General features: G+C 39.7%; 2 long non-coding RNA genes across 2 annotated transcripts; one reads left to right on the forward strand and one right to left on the reverse strand.

Moving 5' to 3' along the window:
• Nucleotides 1–391: 391 nt before the first annotated feature.
• On the reverse strand, nucleotides 392–26,258 carry LOC105373367 (uncharacterized). Its single transcript, NR_188661.1, has 3 exons — nucleotides 26,031–26,258; nucleotides 19,984–20,163; nucleotides 392–973 (listed from the first exon to the last, which is right to left on the reverse strand). It is a non-coding gene; the product is annotated as an uncharacterized LOC105373367 (long non-coding RNA).
• LOC105377213 (uncharacterized) lies at nucleotides 3,238–3,949 on the forward strand. Its single transcript, NR_135614.1, has 2 exons — nucleotides 3,238–3,367; nucleotides 3,581–3,949. It is a non-coding gene; the product is annotated as an uncharacterized LOC105377213 (long non-coding RNA).
• Nucleotides 26,259–27,241: the final 983 nt, after the last annotated feature.

A 27,241-nucleotide genomic window follows, 5' to 3' on the forward strand; every position in this document is an offset into this window, starting at 1 on the left:
CTGATAGGACTGTTATCATCCCATCACTCCCAACAATGGTCCTCAGGCTTTAATATTTTTTTTCCAAGATATTGGCATTTTTTCACTTTTTAAATGATAAAAATATTAAAAGGTATCTATTTACCTCTGAATACTTTAGATACATTTCATAGACTTGATATTCACTGTATTGCTTTTCATTATTTTATAGTCTATAATATTTCATTTATTGCCTCTTTGATCTGTTGTTTGTGAGTTTTTACTTCTTCAATTTTGAGGTGGTTGCAATTTTTTTTTAATTAAAATATGTTAGGTAACATTTTATTTTCCAGTATGAATAGTTTTCCATGCATGCAGATTAAAGAATACTTTTCATATTATATTGTAAACCAAAAAGTATCTGAGACAGGTCTCAATCAATTTAGAAGTTTATTTTGCAAAGGTTAAGGACCCACCTGGGTGATATGTCTATGCCTTTCTCCAAGTATTATTTTGAGGGCTTCAATATTTAATGGGGAAAAGCAGGCTGGAGGGGAAAGAGGTAGGGTATGGTCACATTACTGAATCCACATATTGCAAGAGAAAAGGAGCGGTTAGGGGAAGGGTCAACTATGTATTCATCTCATGCTCTGCAAATCAGCACTTTACATAAGATAAAGTGAACCTAGAGTAGCTACCTGTGGAGATACTAAACCTTTTATCTGTAGCTATTTGCTTAGGAACAAAAAGAAAGGCAGCTTCTTGCATTACTCAGCTTTCAGCTTAATTTTTTCCCTTTTGGCATAGTGAATTGGGGTCCCAAGTTTTTATTTTCTTTTTATATTTCTCTCCCGTTTTCTTCTTAAAATCTTTCAGACAGAGCATTTTAGAAGAAAATGAGTCTGTGGTCTTGGGTTTTGTCTCATCTCTTGTGGCTAGGACAGTTTATTTTTAGACAAATAGGTCCCATGTTGTTAGGAAAGCTCATTTTTGGCAGATGATGAAGTCTCAAGTCCTACAAAGAAAAAATGAGGGGAGGAAAAGATAAGGGAAGCAACAATCAAATGAAAAAGAACAATCCTAGAAAATGACTGTAAGCCATATTGCTCTGAAATCCATACATCAGTAGGCAGGTATGAAAGTGGTTTATATACATAAATAGGTTATTGTTATTTTCATCTGAAGTTTAAGTTGTCTAGCTTCAGTTTACAGGGACTTAGGAAAAGCACAGCTTAATTTTTAGTGATTTCAAATCAGGAGTTTGGCTCTGTGTCTCCACCCAAATGTCTCCTAGAGTCTCTAGGGAGAGGGTGAGTCTTATGCACAATGGTGAAGAAGAACATTTCTCTTGGCCACAAATTGTCAAAGAAGCTTTGGATTAATCCCATCTGCTGATGCTGCTAACCTCCCTAGTGTTGTTGATTGAGCTCCCATTTAATCCTAGGGAGGAATGGGCTGCCTTCTGTTGTTAGATTGGGGGTTGGGAAACATCATGTCTAGATGACCTCTTTATTATATGTCATTATCCTTATATTGACATATTCCTATATTATATTAATTATATTAGTATAATCTTCCCTTAATTTCATTAGATTTTGTATATTAACGCAGTCACTTCAGCCTGTGCGTAACTCTATCATCCCTTTCTTCCAGGGACAAAAACCTGAATGAGAGGTCCTGTACTTAGGGAGGTAAATGAACTGAAATTGATCACACAGTGTCTCCTCCAAGAAGTTGGAAGCTTGTTATAATTGTTCATGAAAAATAATTCTATGAGTGTTTCCCCTTAAGGTAAGCTCTATTTCTTCAGAAGACCTCAGGAGAAGAAAGGGAAGTAGGATGTTAACAGAAAACAATAAAATAAGATAAGAAAATTATCTGGTGGATGAGGGCACATTTTGAAAAGAGCTTTTCACATAAGGTGGGCATGACTCTGGTTAAGCCAAGCTCCTTCCTCTATGCATTCATCAGTTTGAGGTTGTGATTTTCTTCATGCAAACACCCAGCACAACTTGGAGCATGTATAAATCTGCCTCATCCCCCTAACACTGTTAAAACTCAAGCCAGAGTATTATACCTGTTGAGATAAGCAGAGTTGAAACAAGGATAGGATACCCAGAAGAGCAAGTCTATTCAAGGAAGTCCCTCCCCTCCCCTCCTCTCCCCTCTCTTTTCTTTTCTTTCTCTTTCTTTCTCTTTCTCTCTTTCTTTCTTTCTTTCTTTCTTTCTTTCTTTCTTTGTCTTCTTTCACTCTTTCGTTCTTTCTCTCTTTCTCTCATCTTTCTTTCACAGGGTCTTGCTCTGTCACCCAGGCTGGAGTGCAGTGGCATGTTCATGGCTCACTGCAGCCTCGACTTCCTGAGTTCAAGTGATCCTCCCACCTCAGTGTCCCAAGTAGCTGGCACTACAGGCACGCACTACTATGCCCAACTAATTTATTTTGTGGAGATGGGTCTTGCTATGTTGTCAAGGCTGGTCTTGAACTCCTTGACTCAAGCAATCCTCCTGCCTCAGCCTCCCAAAGTGCTGGAATTACAGGCATGAGCCACCATGTACAGCCCTTCACTGAAGTCTTCATAGTCTGAAGGCGGTGGTTTCAGACTGGAGAATAGAAAACTGAGGAGAGCTAAATGGACACTAGAAAAGGTACGTGGAATAAAAAAGTTTCTTGGTAGTAAGCCAAGAAGTTAATGGTTTTCAAAATGCTTAGAGGATTTGTAGGTGGGAACTGGATGATTGACATCTCCACAGACACTTAAATATGGCCATGACATATTAGCATAAATTTTTACCATGAATAGATTGTAGGTAAGACATGCAACAACTAGATAATGGTTAAAGGTGGAAGAAAACAGAATGTACCACTGAATGGGTTGGCAGTAGAGAAAGGCTTTGGAAGACACACCCTATCCTTGCCATGTGACTCACCAGAACTGACATGAGAAGATGAGGAGGGTGCTAGGTCAGTTTGGGAAAGTTTTTAGGAGTGCTAAAGAAATGCCCCTTTTTTGTTTCAACCAGCCTGGCCTCCTCATAAGACTCCCCACTCCTCCCCTTGTCCCCTCCTCTTCCCCATGCCTGGCCCCTCCCCCTACTCTCTACTTCCCTATGACAATGTCCTGATGGGGTTTTGTGATGTCTAAGCCCCTCCCTGCAGGCCTACCATTGGCTGGGTAATGGCTTGCTGGCCAATCAAAGCTTAGGGGTGTGGCTCATCATTGTCCTGGAAGGGTTATATATAGGGAGGCCAGGTGACCCAGAGAAGACAGTTGGGAGATGCTGATGTGGTGAAGATGGCCAGTAAAGCACAAGCCTCCAACCCAGTTGTCGAGGGACAACCACCCACAACACCAAAGAGGCGAAGAAGAGGAAGGCCCCCTCTCAACCAAGATTCAGAAGCCCTCTGAAGGTGAGTGGCGCACCCAGGCTCCTCCTTGTCTTCCCCTTGATTCCTCCCTGCCTTCCCCTCTACTCCTCCCTCCCAAGACGCCTTACCCTGTCCTCGCCTGGCACAACCCCCACCTCAGCCTGTACCCTTCTCATGAAGCCCCTGTTCCCACCCCTCCCCCATCCTCTTCCCCCAAACCAATGCCCTTCTGTGATCTCCCTGTTGTCCTTCCAGATTCCCAAGACAACCCGGAAGGGAAAAGAGAGTCTTTGAGGGAGTTCCAGGAAAAAAGCCACTCCCGAAAGACCGCCGCTTCAAGAAAACCTGAGGAAGGGAGAGGGCCAACGCTATCCAGCCACTCTGACCAGCTGAACGAGGAACTCAATCAAAAGGAGCCACAGCAGGACCAGGAAAGTGAGGAGACTTCCACCATCTCCAGCGTCTCCCTGGACAGCCAGTAATTTCAGGGCAAGTTCAAAGGACTAGATCTATCTGAGAGGTCTCCATAGGTCTAACCCCAGAGAAATAGCCAAAAGGGTCTATGGTACATTTTACACACAACAGGGTACCCCTCATGGTGATGAAAATAAAATGAACCTGTTGTAAAATGATTTGAGTGTCTGCATGTTCTAGGATGGTGGGGAGGGAAGGAGGGAGGAGGTGGTGTGTGGCAAGCGAGGGAGGTGGGTGTTGCGGGATTGGGGTCAGACTGACAGGTCCACAGTTAATCAGACAAGGAGGATAAGGATTGAGTCGGGACTGAGCACTGGAGGCAAATTTCCACTTAAGAGGCTGGCTCTGCTTCTTGCGAGGTTGCTTTCAGAAGGCCAAGGGTCAGCTCAGCACTCCTGGGCTACATGCTGTGACCCTGGGGGACTGGGACCAGGCTTGCAACTTTGTTCTCTGGCCCCTTGAGGTTAAGCACCCGCTGTGATGGAGGGGCCAGAGTGTTTGTGTTGTGTCCATGGCAACAACACTGTGATGGGGGCTGCTGGCAAAAGTGCTCCAGCAGGGCAGCAGAGGCCCCCGTGTGTGAGCATATGCAGGGTGGCAGAGGTCCCCATGTACGTGTGTAGGCGGGACAGTGTGGGAGGCTGCAGGTGACTGCGTGGTGGTGAGGCAAGGCTGCAGGTGCAAGGTGGTGGGGGTCCGTCTGCAAAAGTTCTCTCACAGTTGGGCAGGATCTGCCAGCAAAAGAACTATGGCAGTGGCCGCTGGGAAGCTGAGGCTGCGCTGCAAACGGCTGTGGCTAGGCAGGGACCTTGGTAGATGTCGGCAGACAGGGGGCACTCAGATCATACTGGCCCCATCCCACGGCTAAGACAGCCTTGCTCTGTCCAGGTCCAGCAGCTAACAAAGGCTAGAGCCACCTAGAGGAGTATGGAGAGTCTTGAGGAGTGGGCGTCCACGGCCATGCTCCACTGCAGCCGCTCCTGCGCCAAACCCTCTGGGCTCCATGCAGGCTAGAGTTGTGTCTCTGCCAATTCTCCAGGAAGTTCTCCCTGCCAGTTCAGATGTCCATGGTGGTTGTGGGGTCTCCTGCAGCTAGAATCTCAGAGGTCCGTGGCAAAATTGGGCTACTCCATGCCCATTTCACTCACCCCTTCCCTAAGAGTTGCTCAGGGGCAGGAACTAAATACTGCTTCTTGGCAACCCTGTGCAGGGTTCCCAGCTTCCTTCTCTTTCAGCCGGGGGTCTGCGTCTTTCCTCTGTCCACTCTCAATGCCTTCTTTCTGAAGATCTGTTTGGAGTGTGCTGGTCTACTTGACGGTCTGATCTCTCTCAGTGAGAGAAACTCTTTCTGGCTGCATCTAGTTGGCCATCTTGGCTCTCCCCCTCTCCCTTCATATTTTGAATGTCCAAGATATTATTCTTGGTTTCTAAATGCCCCTTTTTATGCCCTCCTTGTCCTAAATTAGACCTGAATATTGTCTTGTGTCTTTGATGACATCATTTGTAGATTTCTTTGAAGTTTTATTTTGTTCCCTGCTGTGTCTCTGTTTCATTCAACTTTCCTGTTTTTGTTGGTTACTATGTTTACTTTTGGTCTTGTGTTTCATGTAAGCAACTTTCCTTAAATATCTCATAATTCTTGGCCCACTGTCCATGAAATTGCAGTGGAATTGGTGGATCGTATAGTTGCTCTATTTTTAGTATTTTGAGGAGCCTCCAAACTGTTCTCCTTAGTGATTGTACTAACTTACATTCCCACCAACAGTGTATGAGGGTTTTCTTTGCTCTGTATCTGCACCAGCATTTGTTGTTGCCTGTCTTCTGGATAAGCCATTTTAGCTGGGGTGAGAAGATATCTCATTATAGTTCTGATTTGCATTTCTCTGATGATCAATGACGTTGAGCACCTTTTCATGTGCCTGTTTGCCATTTGTGTGTCTTCTTTTGAGAAATGTTTATTAAAATATTTTGTCCATTTTCTGTTGGATTATGAGATAATTTTCCTATAGAGTTGTCTGAGCTCCTTATCTATTCTGATTATTAATCCCTCGTCCTCAGAGGGGTAGTTTGCAAATATTTTCTCCCATTCTGCGGGTTGTATCTTCATTTTGTTGATTGTTTCCTTTGCTGTGCAAAATCTTTTTAACTCGATGTGATCTCATTTGTTCACTTTGGTTTTGGTTGCCAGTGCTTGTGGGGTATTACTAGACATTTAACTTTTAAACTTTTGTTCTTACATTTCTGTTCCAGACCTGTTGTTCTATAAAATATTTGGCTAATAGTAATAAAAGTATCTGGCTTCCTGTATAAAGTGATTCTAATGTATTGGCTTGACCAAAGTTTAAAATATCCCAGCATAGGGATTTCTAATGTTTAAAAAACCCTGCAAGGCAGTATAGTGCAATGAGAAGAGTACTAGGTTGTGAATCAGTAGACATGTAGCTTAGTTTTAGCAAAAAATCCCTGTGTCACCTGGGGCATGTCTCATGCCCTCTTTGCTCCTGAAGTCCCTTCTGTAAAAGGAGTTGAAAGTAGATGCTTACCAAGATACCTCAGTGCTCAGAGACATTCAGAATTCTATTAATAGAAATACTTTTATATGTGTTAGGTTACTGGCTATTTGATATCAGGTAGTCTGGGACTAAAATGTAAAACCAAAGTTACATTGTAAGTAAATATGGCCCCTTTTAAAGTTAAGTTATATTTAAAACTTGGTCAGACAATAACTTAAACTGAAGAATTTAGTCGTTGTGAAAAGTAATTTTTAAAGTAGAAAAGTGCCACGTTTTACTATCCTCTGGCACAATCAGAAAAATGATACCTAGAAATGGAAATTGATTTGTTTAAAATTGAGATAAATACAAAATTGTCGGAGCCATGGAGAGACCCAGCATCCAAATAATAAATCCAGTACTTTAGAATATACCAATTAGACTGTATTCGGAGCTCTACACTCTCTAGTTATAGAAATAAAATAATCTCCACGTCCACCTTTGGATATATCAATACATGTGTTAAAATTGATGAAGCTATGAAATTGAAAAGTCTGAGGTCTTTTTGGTCTCTAATCTTATTTTTGTGGTCATTTACAGACTCTCAAAGTTAGATTTTGATTCCGTTCTGTTTCTTCTATTTCAGCTATTTTACTAGCTGCAAAGAAGCTTCTTCATAGGAAGGCTAATGTAATTCTTACAGATTGCTAAAAATGAAGAATTCAACGTTACTTTTGAACTTCCGTGTCTGATTGATTCTGAGGAAAATATTAGGAGTCAAGTGAAGGTGATATTTTTCAAGAGAGTGATTATGACAAATTTAATACAGTATTAAAATATCAGGGAAAAGGGAACCTTCTGTCTTTTTTTTAAGTAGTAGATCCTAAATTCATTTCATAACAAAGAAATGCGCTGACTTGATCAGAAATGTTAATATAAAAAGTTGTAGAATTTACTAAATGGTGTTTGTTTTCTCCAGTCTTCATAGTCAAACTCTAAATTATCCATATGGATAACTTCTGTAATCAATCAACTTATTCCGCAAAAATCATTTTTAAAGGGTTTGTGTTGGAATATCTTATCTTCAGATTCTATAAATATCATAGTTCCTAACACAGGTATGGTCAACTAGGTGGTTATTTTGAATCCAGATAAAAGGAGAGTTAAATCCTTAAAATGTAAAAATAAACTGTAAGATGGGCATAGTAATATCACTGTTATTTCTGGGTGAGTCAATATCATTTTCTTACTATATCATGCTCATCATATGTAAAAGTGTCTCTCCTATATCTAATCCGAGGTCTCCCAGACTGTATTTCTGGTTTATTAGCAGGCATGAGACAATGGTGTTTTTTGTATCATAATAATGTCTGAAAGATTCCACATGAAAATATAACCCAATATGGTATTTTTAAGTGAAGTAGGATTCTGACCTAATGTCTTATTTTACAGATTTGGAAATTTGAAGTCCAAAGAAATTTAGAGACCAGCGTGAGTTTCCATAGTAATTAGTAACTAATCTGTGACTCTTTCCTCCCAAGCTAGGATCTGTTCTACTGCATATCAAAAATAAGAACTTTTCAGATAAAATTACAAATATCTCCAGGTTTTTCTTGACAATTTCTTTTTCAATTCTACTCTCTTTTCTATCAAAAACTATGCTGGACTGCATCTTTTCCACAAAAACTTTGTAGATAGTTAGCTCACAGGGGCTTGTACCATGAATTAAATCCGGTGCCTAATGGAAATGATTGGCTATAGAAGGCACTTAATTGTTTTTTTGTTGTTGTTGTTTTGTTTTTTGAGATGGAGTCTCGCTCTGTTGCCAGGGTGGAGTGTAGTGGTGCTATCTCAGCTCACTGCAACCTCCGCCTCCCGGGTTCAAGTGATTCTCCTGCCTCAGCCTCCTGAGTAGCTGGGACTACAGGCTCATGCCACCATGCCCAGCTAATTTTTGTATCTTTTGTAGAGACAGGGTTTCACCATGTTGGCTAGTATGATCTCAATCTCTTGACCTGGTGATCCACCCACCGCCGCATCCCAAAGTGCTGGGATTACAGGCGTGAGCCACTGTGCCCGGCCAATTTTTTTTTTAATATAGCAAATATATTGTTTTTTAATATAGCAAACAAACAGGTAATTGTCATTATTTTCAAATAATGCATGACAGCTGAGAGAAATCACCTGCTTTTTAATTTGAAAAGTAATTTTTTTAGCCATTTTCAGTTAAACAATTTGGCAATGTGTATTAAGGACCATAAGACTTTTCTTGACTTAATAATTCCATTTTTTGACTCTAAGGAAATAGTATTATGCATACCATTTCTTTGACACTATTCTAAAGCAATAGTTTTATGCACAAAGATGGTTAACACATCATCCTTAATCATAAAAAGAACGTAGGGAGTGAATATACAAGGTTTACCTATTCCATTCACATGGCTGGACAAACAGCACCTACTGCCTGTGATTCAGCATTAATTTGATGTATTTAGGGCCTTTTGAGCATTCATTTCCATTCTCATCTCCTGTGGAACAACTCAAAAAGGACCCTTGCCCTTTTGTTCATTTCAAAATAGATTGATCTGCGTTTGAGAGAAGATGCAGAAACAACTTAAATGTACAATAGTAGAGCTATTTTAACATAAATTATTGAATCTCCACACAACTTGTTATTATGCAGCCATTAAAATCAGGTTGTATAATTTTATTTAATAATATGAAGAAGAACTTTATTATAATGGTAACTTCTAAAATCAGAAGATAAAATTGTATGTACGATATGGCCTCAATCATGTAAAACAAATATAAATAAAAGGGAATATGCCAAGATAGTATTGACGATTACCTCTGCTTAATGAGATTTTTTTGAAACTTGTTTTTCAAACTTTTTGTTTTTCTACAATAAGTATGTATTGCTCTTATAATCATAAAAAGAGACAAGATGATGTATGTTCAATTGTTCCAAAATGATTAGAATAAAGTACTTGAAAAATAATAGTGAAACAGACTGTTTTCTTTCTCATGCATTATTTATAAGGAAAATAATTCCTATCAGTCTCTGTTTTCAAAAAGCACAATGTGTACTCTTCACACCATTGCCAATACAATGCTGACGTAATATTGGTAAAAAGCACAAATGATACCTCCAGAGACCTCTCTGTTGATTAACTGGTCCTTCGAAATTGCTAAGTTCTAATGAAAGGGTCACTTAGTCTCCAACAAACATAACATTTTGTCCATGTCCTCTAATTTCACACAATGACAGTGTAATTTAAATATATATGGTTTTGAAATTTTCAATCTAGTTTGAAGAAGTACTATGTAAATATTTTGAATATTCAATTTAAAGTTCAACATAATGGAGTAGCACCTATTTAACAACTATACTGTTCCACATGGGGACAAAGACAACTTTCCGAAGTTTTAATTGGTAGGGACCATTTTGTACAGAGATATTACCTTCCTTTGAATAGTCTTTGTATTTATGTGGTACTGGCTGCCTTAATAGCTCACGAATCAGCCGATAGATCATCTGTTCCTATTTGTTAGATACTTCTCTCAGATGCAGATTAATCTATTTTGAAATGAACAAAGGGGCAAGGGTCCCTTTTGAGTTGTTCCATAGGAGATAAGAATGGAAATGAATGCTCAAAAGGCTCTTCATACATCAAGTTGCTGCTGAATCATAGGCAGTAGGTGCTGTCTGTCCAGCCATGTGGATGGAGGTAGGTAATTCAACCTTACATATTCTCTCTCTACATTCTTTTTGTGATTAAGGAGATGCATTTCCAAAATGGTAGGTTGACAGTGTCTGGGTAGCAATAACTAGCAGAGAAATAGTACACACATCCTACTTCCTGCACCTCATTCTTATAGAAGGCACCAACTAATCATCAGGCTTGATCTAGCCCTGTTCTGGCCCTTCCATTCAGTAAGTTGTTGTTTTAGCATCTCTTTGCCCTCAGCTACCCAGTCTTTATCTTCATGCATCATCTCCTCCCTCTGTGTTCTATTCCAACCTTGTAACTCCTCATATAACATCTTTCTTTCTCATTTCCCAGGACCAGACCCTTCCAGGTCTCTGATTTACTTCTGCTTTCATTCCTTGGAAACTGGTGTTGATTTACCTATGACCCTGACCTCTAGCCCCTTCCCCCTCACCCTACACACGGCTCTTGTGTAGAGGCTCCCTACAGAGCTTTAGACAGAGCTGGCTTCAAACATCTGCTGAAATTAACCCTTCACATTTTACCATTTACCAGAGCTAAGACTAGTTCAAATAAACAAATAATTAGAGTTGAAAGAGATATGTGGATGTTCAACAACAAACCAACATGCAACATTATCCAGAGGGGCTATCTAAATTAGAGCTTATTTTACCACATCAGTAGGGAAGTATATAATTTGAAAACATTCAGAGGGAATCATTTTCTACTCTTGTGCCTGACGCTAAACATTATCCAGTCCCCCAGTCCAATGTTGCATATTAACCCATTTTCAAGTATTAGGTGTGAATAAATACTGCATTCAGGTAAGTGAAGGACACAAAACTCCATTTCCTGTAAGGCAAAGTTGATTGCATCCTATTCAATGTAAAGCCAGGAGGTTTTAGGAAATCGGGCTCAAACATTTTGTTAAGTCTTGAACATTTTTGTTAAGGCACTGTTTTTAGGGCCCTATTGCTTGCATGCACAGGGCAGCTTGTAGCTTTTGAGATGCATGTTAATATCGGATATTCTCTCTCTGGTAGATTATTAAGTGATTTATTACTGGAGGGGTTCAGAAATACTGAAAGAACATCACTGAGAGTTTCCTCTTCTCACAACATGGATGTGGGGCTTGAGGAGTCAGCAAATTACTCAGCAGACAGTGAATATTAGCCAGTTCATTAACTATTTTCTCCTAGCCCCAAGAGCCACGAAGCTAATCCCTTGTTTGCCAGGCAGGGTGGGCCTTGCTCTCTGGTTCTTAGTGATTGAGATAACTAAAATTTGTTTGTGTTTTCCAGCCAGAAGTCATTCCACTTAATGCTTTCAATATGGAAACACTCTGGTTAAGGCACTGAGCAGAATTTAAAGTAATTGTCGAGTCTTCAAAATTAAAGTATAAACAAAAAAGCAATTTTAAGAATTTGTAAATCCTTCTTCCTGGTTCTGAAGGCTTTCCCTGAGGCTGACATTAGGCAGGGCTTGGTCATTTTCCTTCAGGGGAGAACCACTAAGTCAAGCTCCCCGGGAGATTTTTTTGTTTTGTTTTGGCTTGACCAGCCGTGAGTTTCCTCCCTGGTCAAACATGACAGATTCTTAATTTTAAAATTCTGAAGTAATGATAAATCAGGCTAAGAAAGGCTGAAGTTTCACATTTGGGAGCTAGCAAGGTAATCTTTGCTAAGTAATGTGTGTGAATAAGTTTAAGGAGGTGAGGTAGGCAAGAAACAGGTGAACCAAGGAGACCTGGTCCTAAGGTAAATTTACCTCATCCATTTCAGGTGAGTAGCATCCTGTTTGCATATCATTCGCATCTCTTCCTTGGCACAGACTTCTGGTAAGTGTTTTCCCATCTTCATATGTGTTGGTAAATGAAATAACAAAAGTATTTCATTCGAATGGAAATAACACAAATGCCTGTCTTTTGAAATACTCTTTAAACTTAATTTCTGAATGTTTTAGAACAACTCTTAGCCTCTTCTAGGATTTCTGAGACTTGACTACATTTTTGAACAACTGATTATAGGTTTTCCAGAATTTTAGGGAGTTAATATGTACATCAATTGCCTAGAGTTTATTTGCAGATTATACTGCAGCATTATCGAGCAATCCATCCACATTTACTGATATTCTCACAGCATGCCCAACAGTAGGATAGCATTGAAAAATAGCAGGCCTTATCCCCATTTCTTGCAAAACAAAATTACAATCTGGCTAGAGAAGTAAGTCTTAGAGAATGTTTATAACCACAAATAGATAATTCAATACAAAAAAGATATCCAACACAGGATTGATATTAAAGGTAGCTAGAGAAGGGCAAAAATCAGGGCTAGGCAAAATGAGTCAGAGTTTAATTAAGGAGGTGAAGCTTGAGTGGGATTTAAATGAAGCTGAGATATAGACACAGAAAGAACACAGTTATATCAATAATCTGAAAACAATGATGCACCCTCCTTTTCACAAAAGCTTCTTTCTATGATTGCACCACTGCATTCCAGCCTGGGAAACAGAATCAGACCCCATTTTAAAAATAAATAAATAGGCCAGGAGCAGTGGCTCACGCCTGTAATCCCAGCACTTTGGGAGGCCAAGGTGGGCTGATCACCTGAGGTCTGGAGTTTGAGACCAGCCTGGCCAACATGGGGAAACGCTGTCTTTACTAAAAATACAAAAATTAGCCAGGTGTGGTGGCGGTTGACTGTAATCCCAGCTGCTTGGGAGGATAAGGCAGAAGAATCACTTGAACTCAGGAGGTGGAGGAGGTTGCAGTGAGCCGAGATCGTGCCATTGCACTCCAGCCTGGGCAACAAGAACGAAACTGTCTCAATAATAATAATAATACTATACAATAAAAAATAAATAAAGCTTCTTCTGACTCGAAACTGGAAGGTAGAAAAAAAGATAGTTAAAGAATGGTGCAGTTTGGCCAGGTGCAGTGACTTGCCCCTGTAATCTCAGCACTCTCGGAGGCCGAGGCTGGCAGATCGCTTGAGCCCAGGAGTTTGAGACCAGCCTGGGCAACATGACGAAACCCCATCTCTACAAAGAATACAAAAAGTAGTCCGGCGTGGTGGCACATGCCTGTAATCCCAGCTACTTGGGAGGCTGAGGTGGGAGGATCACCTGAGCCTAGGAGGTCAAGGCTGCAGTGAGCCATGATTATGCCATTGCATACCAGCCTGTGCAACAGAGTGAGAGCCTCTCTCAACAACAACAAAAAAAAAAAAAAGAAAAAGAAAAGAAGAAAAAACAATGGTGCATTTCATTTGATTAACGTGTAAACACCAACTTCCCCAGTCCAAACCACGAACTTCTTTCATCACATAGCTCTGAAATGTTGCTGCTGAAATATTTCTGATGAAATGCTGCTAATAAAATATATTGTTTTGTATATAGTAGATATTCAAAGTGTTTTTATAGAATTAAATTGAGAAGTAAAGACACTAGCTTAATTCCTCTGGTTAAGAATAATTTAGTGGAGGCTGTGCGCGGTGGCTCACGCCTGTAATCCTAGCACTTTGGGAGGCCGAGGTGGGTGGATCACTTGAGGTCAGGAGCTCGAGACCAGCCTGGCCAACATGGTGGAACCCTGTCTCTACTAAAAATATAAAAATTAGCTGGGTGTGGTGGTGGATGCCTGTAATCCCAGCTACTCAGGAGGCTGAGGGAGAATGGCTTGAACCCAGGCGGTTGAGGTTGCAGTGAGCTGAGATCACGCCACTGCACTCCAGCCTGGGAGACAGAGTGAGACTCCGTCTCACCAAAAAAAAAAAAAAAAAAAAATTATAATAATAATCTAGTGGAGAAAGGACTCAGCTTCAGCTTCACAAATATTCAGCAAATAATGCACGAGCACAAATTTATTGATAGTGATATAGTTGCTTTTCAGCTGCTAATAGATATAGGTAATGTATATATAACTTTTTTTTTAAATTGGACTTTTATTTAGCAGGTATGCTATGCCCCGAATATATGATTTGTATAAAATATAGTAGAATTTAAAAGGATCATCTGCATGCTATCTTAAAAATCAAATATTAACAAATATATTTGATTTAATTTCATTCAGAATATTTGAAACTATATAGCTGAATTAATGCTGATTAACAAGTTTATTGACCATAAGCAGCAAAATCACCATGAGAAAAAAACTGCCAAAAATATGTCTTTTCTCCAACCAAGGTGTTTAATAACTCTTGTTCCTCTTACATCAAAGTAGAAAATTCAGCATGAAAAATGACATAAAGTTTTAAATTGGCTTTTAACTGCTTTCTGACAAAAACACAAACGTGATAGTGAATGAGGCAGCCTTTTAATTTTCCTCATTTGTTAAAATCTCCATAAAGTCATCTCTTTATTTTATAATATTCATTTTACTATGCTCTATTCAGTCCCAGAATAATTCATATGGTGTGTAAAACTATAACAAGTAGCTTTATGTGTAGGTTCTCCCCCGCTTTGGAGATTATGATCAGAAAGGAGGTCGCTGTGTCAAAGGCTGTGCTCACATGTGTCCATACTGTTTTCCAAGAACTGACTGGCCTTCTAATAGAATTAGTCATTCAACGTGTAACTATACCACAGAGAATCAAGATATTTTATTTCCCTCAACATTGCATCCCTAGGGCTTCCAAATTCTTACTTGAGTTCCACAGTTTTCCTTAGCTCCCTTTGCTAACCTGTCTTTGTTTTGGTCCTTCCTCATTTATGCCTTCATGATATATAGAACCACCGGACAATGCATTCATTTACTTCACTTTTTTTTTCTGTTTTTTGCTTTTCATAAATGTTTGCGATCGCCCATTGAATTTTGTCAATATTATAGAATCTGTTAACTGCAACAATAAACACAGTCCTAAACTTTACTTTATCTGTTCTCATTAATTAGTGTTCTAATTAGATTTTACTCTACATAGTATTCCTCTCCGTGTTTTACAAAATCATGTTTTAACCTTTTGCTTATATGTACTCTTCTTTCAAATGTAGAAAAAAAATTAATTAAAAAAGATGGAATCTCTTTTGAAGATATAACAAATTCAGATGTTGCTAAACCTACAACTAGGTAATTGTGAGCAAAATTAGCTACCGGCTGTTCGTTCTAAAGTAACAAGTGTTTGCCTGTGTCAGTAATTATTTCTACATAAAATTTTGCACTTTTGCATTTTGACAATTAATTAAACCATGCAGTTAAATTATACATGATAATTAGTCATGAAAGAACAAAATGCAAATAAAGAAAACTTAGAAAAAGCAGCCCTCATAAAGAGTAAATTTTCTAGCCGCATATGAAGATAAGCCTATTGAGCAACCATCTAAAATACCTTTTTATAGAACTAGTTATACAGTTAAGGTGAGAGATATACTGAGAATTGTCTGCCCTTGTGCTACATGTTCTGGCATCCCCCAAGAATCCCAAGAATCCCTGGTGATGCGGACAGGTGTGCAGCTCCCTGAATGTGCAACTGTTTCTCTCTGGGTGCTTTTTGCCCCTTTCTGCTTCACAATACAATGTCTCTGGGAAGTGACTTGTCATCTCTCCCAATACCCCCTCCTCCCTGATCTGGCCATAAGTTCCAGGCACGGTTCTAGGCACTGGAGATATAACAGTGAACAAAAGAAAGCCCCTGCCCTCATGGAACTGACTTTCTATAGGGAGGAGACAGAACAAATACACAAGTAAGTACATACAATTTTAGGTAGTGATACATTCTATCATGAAAAATAAAATCAGAGAAGCGAATTGAGATTGAGAATTGGAGCTTACTGTAGTGGTTATTGGAAAAGGCCTCTTTAAGGAGATAGTATTTTATCAGAGACCTGCAAGAAGTGAGGTGGTGAGTTATTTAAACATCTTGCAGGGATTACCTTTCCAATGAGAAACCAAAAGGTGAAGCCACCAAAGTGAAAACATACTTGTTTCAATGACCAGAAAGGATACCAGTGTGTCTGGGGCAGAGAGGGTGAAGGGAGAGTAGGATGAGTCCAGAACGGTATCAGGGACCAGATCATGTAAGGTTTTGTAGGCTACAGTAAAGACTTATTTCGGATTTTACTCTGAGGGTACCGGGAAGCCAAGGGTGTTTTTTTGTTTTTGTTTTTGAGACAGGGTCTTGCTCTGTTGCCCAGGCTGGTGTGCAGTGGCACGATTATGGCTTAATGCAGCCTTAATCTCCCGGGCTTAGGCAATCCTCCCACCTCAGGGAGGGTGAGACTACAGGCACATGTCACTATGCCTAGCTATTTTTTTTAAATTTAATTTTGTAGAGATGGGGTCTTACTATGTTGCCCAGACTAGTCTCTAACTCCTGGGTTCAAGCAATTCTCTTGTCTCAGCCTCACAAAATGCTGGGATTACAGGCATGAGCCACCATGCCCAGTCCAAGGGTGGGTTTGGAACTGTAAAAACAAATCACCAAATTGAGAGATTGTTATGGGCCAGGCACTTAACCCCATCCAACTGCAAGAGAAGCTTAGTTCCAAAGTTCTGGTGACAGAAAAGGAGCATATTTAACACGCTTTGACCTCTGTATTTGTTGTCTACCACTCTACTGTGGCATAACCAATTACCCCAAAACTTAATGTCTTAACACGTATTTATTATCTCACAGTTTCCATGGGTCAGATGTTCTGGTGTGATTTAGATGGGTTCTCTGATTTTAGAATCTCTAACAAGGCTGCAATCGAGGTGTCAGCTAAGGCTGCAGTTTCATCTGAAGACTCAATTTTGGGATAACTTACATGATACATGGCAAAATTCAGTTCCTTAAAGGTTTTTAGTTTGAGGCCTTGGTTCCTCATGACCTGTTGATCAGAGGCACTTCTTGTGTTTCTTTTTGCCATGTATGCCTCTCCATAAATTATCTTACAACATAACAGCAAGCAAGCTACAGAGCAAGAGAGAGTAACAATAAAAGAGACAGAGAGACACAGAGAGAGAGAGAGATAGCAAGATGAAATTCAATCTTTTGTAATCTTATCATAAAATTGTCATCCCATCACTTTTGCCATATTCTATTGGATAGAAGGAAGTTACTAAGTCCAGCCCACACTTAAGGGGGAAGGGATAACCCAAGGTCATGAATTCTAGGAGGCAGAAATCACTGAGAGCCATGTCAGAAGTTGTCTACCATGTCCTCTATCTGCACCAGGCTCTGCTTAGCCTACAACATCTGAAGCATGGTTCAGACCAAGGCCCAACCCAGGCCCAGAATGTGAAGAGCTGAGGACTTGGGACAAGGTGAGCAGGAGAAAGTCAAAAAAGAATATCCTATGTTTAAGAAATCTACAATGTCCAGGAAGATCAGCAAAGTCAGAAAAAAAGAGGCAGGTACCACTGGAGCAGAGGATTGAATTAATCACACTCTTTTGTTATGGGCACATTCTCATCATAAGTCCATGCAAACCCTGTTTAAGTTTTTATTTATCTATTCCATGCATTCATTCATTCATTCCTTTTTTATAACAATTTTATTGTATTATAATTCACATACTATAAAATTCACCCATTTGAGGTATACAATTCAATGGTTTTAGTATACTCACAGAGTTTTGCAATTTTACTGTAGTCTAAGTTTAGAATATTTTTATCATCCAAAAAAGCAATAACAAATCTATTGTTAGCGAAGTTCCATGTCCCCAACTTCCAGCACCTGGCAACCATGAATCTACTTTCTGTCCTTATGGATTTGCCTACTCTAGATATCTCATCTATGTGGAATCATATAACATGTGTCCATTTGTGTCTGGCTTATTTCGCTGAGTATAATGAACCTTTTCAAGGTTCATTCATGTTATAGCCTATATCAATATTTCATTTCTTTCTTTCTCTCTTTTTTTGTTTTTTTTTGAGACAGAGTCTTTCTCTGTCGCTCAGGCTGGAGTGCAGTGGTGCAATCTCAGCTCACTGCAACCTCTGCCTCCCGGGTTCAAGTGATTCTCCTGGCTCAGCCTCCTGAGTAGCTGGGATTACAGGTGCCCACCACCATGCCCGGCTAATTTTTGTATTTTTAGTAGAGACAGGGTTTCACCGTCTTGGACAGGCTGGTCTTGAACTCCTGACCTCGTGATCCACCCGCCTCATCCTCCCAAAGTGCTGGGATTACAGGCATGAGCCACTGCACCCGCCACTTTATTTCTTTTTATTGCCAAATTACATTTTGTTATATGGGTGTATTTTATTTATCATCAGTTGATGAACATTTGGCTTGTTTTCACTTTTTGGCTATTATGAATAATGCTGCTATCAACATGTGTCTATTAGTTAATATTATATATATATACACATACCCCTATATGTACATACACATGTACATACATATATGCATACATACAAAGGCAAAATTGCTGGACCATGGAGACTGTGTATACTTAATTGAACTGAGCAGTATTTGCTTGATTTCTTTGCAATTGGCTGGCCCTGTCTATGTTCCCACAGCAAAGCATGAGAATTCCTATAATACCTCAGCTCTGTCAATACTTGGTAATCTCCAGCTTTCTAATTTTTCCTGTCCAGAAGGTATAAGATCATATTACATAGTTGCTTTAATTTACATTTCTCTGATTATAATGAATTGGAGCATCTCCTCATATGTGTGTTTGCTTTTTGGGTTAACTCCTTTATAAATTACCTGCTTGTATTTTCCATTTTCACACTGCTATCAAAATACTACCCAAGACTGGGTAATTTATAAACAAAAGAGGTTTAATTGACTCACAGTCCTCATGGCTTGGGAGGCCTCAGGAAACTTACAATCAGGGGAAGGGGAAGCAAGGCACCTTCTTCACAAGGTGGCAGGAAGAAGTGCCCAGTGAAGGGAGAAGATCCCCTTATAAAACCATCAGATATTGTGAGAACTCACTCACTATCACGAGAACAGCATGGGGGAAAACGCCCTCACAATCCAGTCACCTCCCTCCACACGTGGGGATTACAGGTTGAGATAAGATTTGGGTAGGGACACAGAGCCAAACCGTATCACTGCTCCTTTATACTTTAATCATTTTTCTATTATGCTTTCTTTTTTTGTGTTGCTTTTTACAAGTGTCTTATCTAGCTTAAAGTTAGTTCCTCTTGGTTTTAGATATTGCAAATATTTTCTCCCATCCTGCCATCCATCTTGAATTTTGTTCGTAGTGTCCTTCATGAACAGAAATCCTTAATTGTAATGCAATCAAATCAATTAACATTGACTTCACATTTTGGGTTTTGGAGTCTTAAGAAATCCTTTCCCATTCCAAGACAAAAACAATATTTTACAATTTCTTTTTTGTTGCTACCATTTTTTCCTTTCATAATTATTCTTGGTTTGTTTGCTTGTTTTGAGATGGAGTCTTGCCCTGTCTCCCTGGCTGGAATGCAGTGGCACTATCTGGGCTCACTGCAACCTCCACCTCTCGGGTTCAAGTGATTTTCCTGCCTCAGCCTCCCAAGTGGCTGGGACTACAGGTGCACGCCACCATGCCCAGCTAATTTTTGTATATTTAGTAGAGATGGGGTTTCACTATGTTGGCCAGGCTGGTCTCGAACTCCTGACCTCAGGTGAGGAGGTCACCCACCTCAGCCTCCCAAAGTGCTGGGATTACAGGCATGAGCCACCATGCCCGGCCCATGATTATCCTTGAAATCATCTGGAATCCACCTTCATATAGGTTGTTAGAGAGGAACCTAGTTTGATTGTTCTGCACATAATAAGACAATTTTCCCAGCACTGTCTACTAACTGATCCATGCTTTTCCATAACCTGTGATGCCATATTTATTGTATCCTATAATCCCATGCATAGCTGGGTCTTGCTGGGTCTCTGAGCTCTTCATTCTGTACTATGATCTACTTAAATTTGACACTATCTCTAGCATGACTTTAGCTTCATTCTGTATGCATTCACCTTGGTCATTTTATTCATTGCCAGGAATAGAATAACTTACCTGAAAAAGGAAAAGCAAAGAAGCCAATCTTGCAAGATGAACCTGAGGGGAGGCTTACCTGCTGGATTCAGTGGTGCTTAGCTGCAGAGTGTTCACTTCAGTATGCCAAGAGGGCTGAGGGTCCCTTGCAGAGTTAAAAGCTCAGTCCACTTTCCAAGAATCTTCTCACTTTTCTTCATTCTAAAGGGCTTCTGGCAGTTTCCTTCCTTATGGGGCAGCCAGGAACTCATGCCCTACACTGTTATAAATCAAGAGGTTTGATGTACTTCTAGCAAGTCCAGTAGGAACCAGACTTTCTCAAATAGCTTAATTAAATGACGGCTATTGTTAATTTACACTAGTATCCTATTAGCTGTCCACAGAGATTTCTATTATCCAACATCAGTAGTGAGAATGAGGCAGATATTATTAGAAAAGCATGGAATTAGGACATATAAGTGCCATTAGGCTGTATTCAAATAGAATATTAGTATCTATTCATATTATAATTATTTTTTGTATCTTCAAGTTAGTTAGCCACTGACCAGCCATTAGGAGTAGTTATCAACTGGGTTTCACGGCAATCTTGTGTCATGTTTAAAATAATCATAATGGATATGTATTTTGCTTATTTTATCTCCAGCCACGAAGCCCACTCTTGGTTTGAGCTAACTGTGGTGCATGACTGTCTGCACCTGCAGACAATGAGACGTTTGTGAGCAGGGAAGCCAATGTGTAGCTTTTGCATAGTTTCTCATAATCATCAATTTCCTATCTTTCCTTTTCCTTTCATCTCTGGCGTACACTCCAGCTCCTACTTCTAGATTCTTTTATTGTCTTGTATCAAAATTTTGAGATAAAATTTACCCTTTTAAAGCATACAATTCAGTGTTTTTTCAATGTATTCACAAGGTTGTGCAAATACCACCATTACGTAATTCCAGAACATATTCATCACCACCAAGAGAAACCCCATGCATTAGTAGTCACTTCCCAGTCTCCCTCCTCCCAGCTCCTGGCAACCACTAATATACTTTCTATCTCTCTGGATTTGCCCATTCTGGACATTTCGTATAAATAGAAGCTATTCTTTTATTATGGTAAAAACATATCACATGAAATTTACCATCTTAATCATTTTTAAGTGTACACTTCAATAGTGGTAAGTACATTCACATTGTTTTGCAATCAATCTCCAGAAGTCTTTATATCTTGCAAAACTGAAATTCTGTCCCCATTAAACACTAACTCCCCATTCCTCCCTTGCCCAGCCCTTGGCCACTACCATTCTACCTTCAGTCTATTTGAATGTGACTAATCTAGGAACCTCAGATAAGCTAATCATACAGTATTTGTGTTTTTGTGACTGGTTTATTTCACTTAGCATATGCTGTCAAGGTTTATTCATATTGTAGCATCAATCGGTACTTCATTTTTATGGCTGAATAGTATTCTATTGTAAGGATATACCATATTTTGTTTATCCATTCTTCAGTTGATGGACATTTGGGTTGTTTCCACTTATTGGCTATTATGAATAATATGAATTAGGAGCATTCATGTGCAAGTATTTCTTTGGATGTAAATTTTTAAATTTTCTTTGTCATATACCTAGGAATGGAATTGCTGGGTCTTATGGTATCTGTGTGTTTAACCTTTTCAGGAACCACCAGACTGTTTTCCACAGCAGCTGCATCATTTTACATATCCACTAGCAGTGTGTGAGAGGTCTAATATCTCCACATCCTCATCAACACTTGTTATTATTTGTCCTTTTGATAGCCATTCTTGTGGGTTGCAGCAGGGGTTCCCTGCCTCCCTAACCCTGCAATTTCTGAACTGACTTAGGGCAGAGGGAGCCAGGTGAGAGGGGATTTTAGTTGTTCCAAAGGTATACCTACAGGAAGACTAGTAACTGGATCAATTTTATTTTTTAACAAAAGCTCTTAGTTTTCTATTTGAAAAAGATCATTCTGAACGCTCAGTTTTCGCTTGATTATAATAATTAGGTGACCAGACTGCTTAAATAAACAATGCTGTGATAAGCCGGAAGAGAATGATCACTCAAGCAGATCTGCCCTGGGTTTGCCCTGCCTCTTTGGACGAGTGATTGAACTTCTGAGTGTTCTTCTCTTCTGTAAAATGAGGTAAAATCGTGATAAAATGAAAAGTTGTATGTAAAAGAACCTGCACACATCTTCAGAATATGTCCATGATAAATCTCTATTTTGTCATTCTTTGGTTTTTAATGACCTGGCTTTTTATGAAAATTTCATTTGATTTTAGCCCTTGGGTATTCCTTGTTGAAGTCTTCTGGCTATCTGTGACAAGCAACACAGAGAAAGTGGAGAATAGTGAGGTGGCTTTTCTAAAGAGAAGAACATTTTGTTGATTTTTTAAAAAAGGAGGGATATTAGAGTCCTACATATTTCAGTATTTTTGAAGCTTCATATTATTGAGACAAAATTGTTATAGTTGTCATGGTAAGTGGTGTTTTTTTTTCATAGCAACTGAAGCCACAAATAATTACACAAATGCTGAAAAAAAAAAAAACCCAAAAATGACCAGAGGGCAAAAACATGGCTTGCTCACAATCTTTAGGTGAAGACATTTTCTCCTATAAAAACATTTTAAAGTTCCGTGCCTACAGCCTGTGCTTTTGATTTAAGCTACCCTAAGATTGCTTGGGCAGTAGTAACTGCTTCAGAATGGAAAGACTTAGTGCCCAAGGCTCTTTACTTGGGCTGGCTAGGCCAGTTCTAGGGTCTCATGTAAACCAGTTTAAAAAGATGAACACAGTTCATCAAACTGGATACCAGTTTTAAAAGATGGACAAGATGGCATAAATTGCATGGAGCCAGGGGGCTCTCTGGTTGACTTGAACCAGGATGTTTCTTATTGCAGAGGCCCAGGAACACAACTTAGAGATGGCCCAGCTTGCCTGAGATCCCACATAAAAAGAGAATTGGCAACCAAGGCTGGAACTAAGATGTAGCAAGTGGAGTGCCCAGGGCACATTTAAGGAGGCATTCACTCCCAGGGTCACGCAACATTACATGAGCTATTTGGAAATGTAAAATGTGTGATGCTAAGGCAGCTCAAAGGAGAAATTTATCTGGGCTACTGTAGCACTAAATCACAATATTAAATTGATCCTTACCCTGCTCCCTTTCCTATTCGCCCACCAAACCAGGGTCTGACACTGTGGTAGGGGCTTGGGAAGACAGGGAATCTCCCATATGGTCCCTGCCCTCTGTCAGCTACCAGATAGTGGTACACATAATTCTGAACCGAGATCAAAGAGATGTAGAAGTGCCTCCCAGTTGAGAAGTCTTGGACGGGTGAGAAATGTGGCATGGTTAGCACAGAAGCTGTACTTTAGGAGGCAGGAGACATGAAATGGGAAAGGAGGCCTGGATTAGTTCAGGAAGGCTAAGAGAAACTAACACCTATCACGTCCACTATTTGCCAAGCAAGGAAAGGCCCCCTGGGTTTTGATGACCGGATAGGGCAGAGAAAGCCAGAACAGTTAAAGGACCATTGCCACAGTCTAGCCCAGAGATCTACACTAGGAGTCCAAGCCAGTGACCAGATCTCCTGCCTGAAACTCACTGGGATGTAGTGTCCATATGGAAGGATTCTTGTGCCTTGTACATTCCTCATTTTCTTACTAAAGAACTGCATAGAGTTTGGAAGATATATTTGACCAAATTCATTTCTTTTTTTAAAAAATTAATGTTCCAATTTCATCCATGGAACATTAATTTTTTAAACTATCGCAAGAACAAAAAACCAAACACCGCATATTCTCACTCATAGGTGGGAATTGAACAATGAGATCACATGGACACAGGAAGGGGAATATCACACTCTGGGGACTGTTGTGGGGTGGGGGGAGGGGGGAGGGATAGCACTGGGAGATATACCTAATGCTAGATGACGAGTTAGTGGGTGCAGCGCACCAGCATGGCACATGTATACATATGTAACTAACCTGCACAATGTGCACATGTACCCTAAAATTTAAAGTATAATAATATTAAATTAAAAAAAATAAATAAGTAAAAATAAAAATAAAAAAAGAAATTTGAAAAAGCAAAAACCTTCTACAATCCTTTACAAATTTTGCTAAAGAGCAGATTAGTGCCTTAAGAGTATCTTGTTGTGCTTTTATTTCAATGCTCAATTTACAGAAAAACCATATAATATCCTTTTGAATTTAGTCCGTAAGTTCACACACAGAATTTCTTTGGCAATATTAATTGTTACAATCCTTTCACAACATGTTTGACCTTTTATCTTTATCTTATCTAACTCAAAACAATCCTTTAACCCTAGGCAAGAATTTACATTTCCACACCTTCTTATAATATTGTATTAAAAACATATTTTACTGTTCTTACACACCTTGCATGTAAATTTATTTCTAGCAGTTTCAATTACATGTTATAATGGTAGCTCCTAGAAATTTTTAACTTTAATGTAAAACCTGGTAAGTTGTTTTAATTATGTGCTAGGTGCAGCCAAGTTTGACTCCTTCCAGCATAATTAAGGGTGTGGTTAGTTCCATATGTCCCCAGGCCTTATCAGTTGTGAAGCAGGCTACTTAAATAGTTCTCAAAAAACAAAAAATCAGTTATAACCTTAAAACATTTAGCAAACCTAGTATCTGACCTGCATAATTTAGTTCACCTATTAATATTTTGACAATATCTGCACTTTACCAATAATCTTTAAGGCTGTTTTTATTTCTCAAAGATTACAGTCATGTGAACTAAAAGGTACCAGAGCTTTATATTCCCTTTAAAAAAATATTTGATCCAAGCGCTTATCTTCCTTTAGGCCAATTAATTAGAACTCTTTTCATAGACACCACACATACAACACATATATAGCTACACAGACAGGTAGAAGAAAACCCAGTTGCCGTAAGATTTTTTGTTTGCCAATCTCCTAATTGGATTATTGGCCTCCAGGTGGAGTCCTTTAAAAGACAGGGCTCAGAAAACTTGTAGCTTCTAAGGCCTAGTAAACAGACATAGGTGGGGCAAAAACAGATTTTGAGAAGGATCTATCTGCTTTTAATTCCTGGGGTTCCATGAGGAAAACAGAGGTCTCCCCACTCTCATGTGTGCATTAAGAGTGGCAAGGCAAAATGGAGAAAAATAATTCAATCAACTGAGAAAACACCTTTTTCTAGCAAAACAAGGTCCAAGAAAAGAAAAACATAAAGGCCTTTTAAATATACCTATAACTTGGATATCCACTTTAATTAAGCTGAGCACTCTTTAAGAAAATCATTTTAACTCCCTTATTATCCAATTTTAGCCATGCCAAGTGGCCAATATCTCTGGCTTTCAAACCTTATTAAGGCTCAGAGAAAGGAAAATCCAAGGATTAGTGGAGGGAAAGAGAGTCAACAAATAGCAAAGGATGCAAAGATATCAAACTAGAAAGGACTCATTCCCTAAGCCAGGATTGAATCGGGGCCACCACTGTAAAATGGCAGAGGCTAAACAAAGCATTGCTATGTGGTTACAGGTCATGCTCCCAAGGAGGTAAAACAAGATGGAGGACTGCCACAAAGTTTGCTATGTACCATATAGAAAGACACACAAAGCACACCAGATTGGCTATAGCTCAAGACCACCCTCACAAATCCTTTTTCATAATTAAAACTTTACAGAGAATATAAACAGTGAACTTTATCATTACTGGCCTAGTAAAACATTTTGAAAAGAAAAAAAAACACCTCACTTAAAAGTTAACTCATCACCTGGTAGAGAAAGAAAGAAAGCTTAAAGTACAGGGCTGTGTTAACTGCTGACAGGGTAGAGAAAAGGAAAAAAACTTTAAAGTGAAGGGCTGGAAAGATGCCTGGGGGAAGAACCTCTTATTCTTATGCCAATGGGCTCCTCCAACTGGGAGACAAACTTAAGAGGGGAGCTGGGGAGCTGCCGGTTCGCCCGTCCATCCCCAAAAAAGAAGGAAAAAGGTGACATTACCGACCCCCAGGAGCAACATGAATGGGAGAGGTATAATTTTCTCTACCCTCAGAAGAAGTCTGAGGACAAAAAGGCTTAGAAGTGAAAGGAAGAAACAGTTTTTGGTTTGCATGTTACTAACCTTTTCCCATGTCCCCATACAGGCCACCAAAAATGTAGAAAAAAACAAGTTCTTGTCACATGACCAGGAAGGATTGGGTGCACAGACATGTTGAAGGGTGATTAGAGAGGAATTTACTGGGTGAAAAGGAAAAAAGGAAAAAAACCTCTCAGCAAAGTGATATGGAGTCTTGCTAACAGGCCCTCCACCTCACAGATAGATTCCCAGGTCACCACAGGAGCTGAAGAGAGCAGAGTCCTCCTCTGCTTAAGATGTGAATTCCCTGTGGCTCCACCCACTTCCCCCAGTGCATATGCTGGGCTCCAGTCCACTGTGGGCATGCCCAGAGAAGCCCTGGGCAGATTTCTTCATCTGCACACAAGCATCTGATGTAAAAACTTGTGGGGCAGATCGGAGATTCTCCAGGGATGCCTTTTTATCTGCCTAGGCATTTGGCTGTCTTAGTGAAAAGAAAAGTGTTGCAGTTCTAAGGTCAGCAAGCCGACTACCACAGGGTAGGAGGGAGGAGACTTAAGGAACAGGAGCAGGGAATAAACAGCTTGCCATGCTTACAGTTTGCCAAAGAGACTTTACCCACCATCATGAGTCATGGCACTTGGGAGTAGTTGGGAAGCATCATTAGTCCTGTTAGCTCAGTTTCTTGGCAGCCCACTTAAATCAGGAAAGTCAAGATATACTAAAGGAATCCATTTCTGTTCTCATTACACACCCAGTTAGAAAACAGTCCACCCTCTACAAAAGGCAAAAGTAGGGCAGTGTCAGCCAAGATGGAAGATGGTTGACCTCAGAGCTTAGTTTGTTGCATTCTGTTGAAATGTCGAGTTTCAAGTTGCAATGAAAAGACCATAGTCTTCTTTGGTTGTGTTACCATCCTGTCTCTAGGCAAAACAGTTCTGGCTGTTCCTGCAAGTCTGAAAATGTGTAAGAGCAATCTTGTTTATGTTTGTTACCAAGATTTTCAGTCTCAAGGCTTTATATGCTCCCTAGTAGTACTTGCTAGGAAGTTAAGGACCTTGCCCTGATGCTGTGCAGGGTTATGGAACACTAGGGTGCATGTAGCCTTCCTTCCTTCCTGCTGTTTTTTCTAGTATATCCCATCTGACTACATCTTTCTCACTACATTTCAGTGGCTCCTGATAGACTTGAGGATTGAACCTCAAAACAGCTTGAAGTTAATTGATTGCTTATCCCATTAAGACTTTTATTTATTC

This window comes from Homo sapiens, chromosome X (genome assembly GCF_000001405.40).
Source record: "Homo sapiens chromosome X, GRCh38.p14 Primary Assembly".
Classification (NCBI taxonomy): Eukaryota; Metazoa; Chordata; class Mammalia; order Primates; family Hominidae; genus Homo; species Homo sapiens.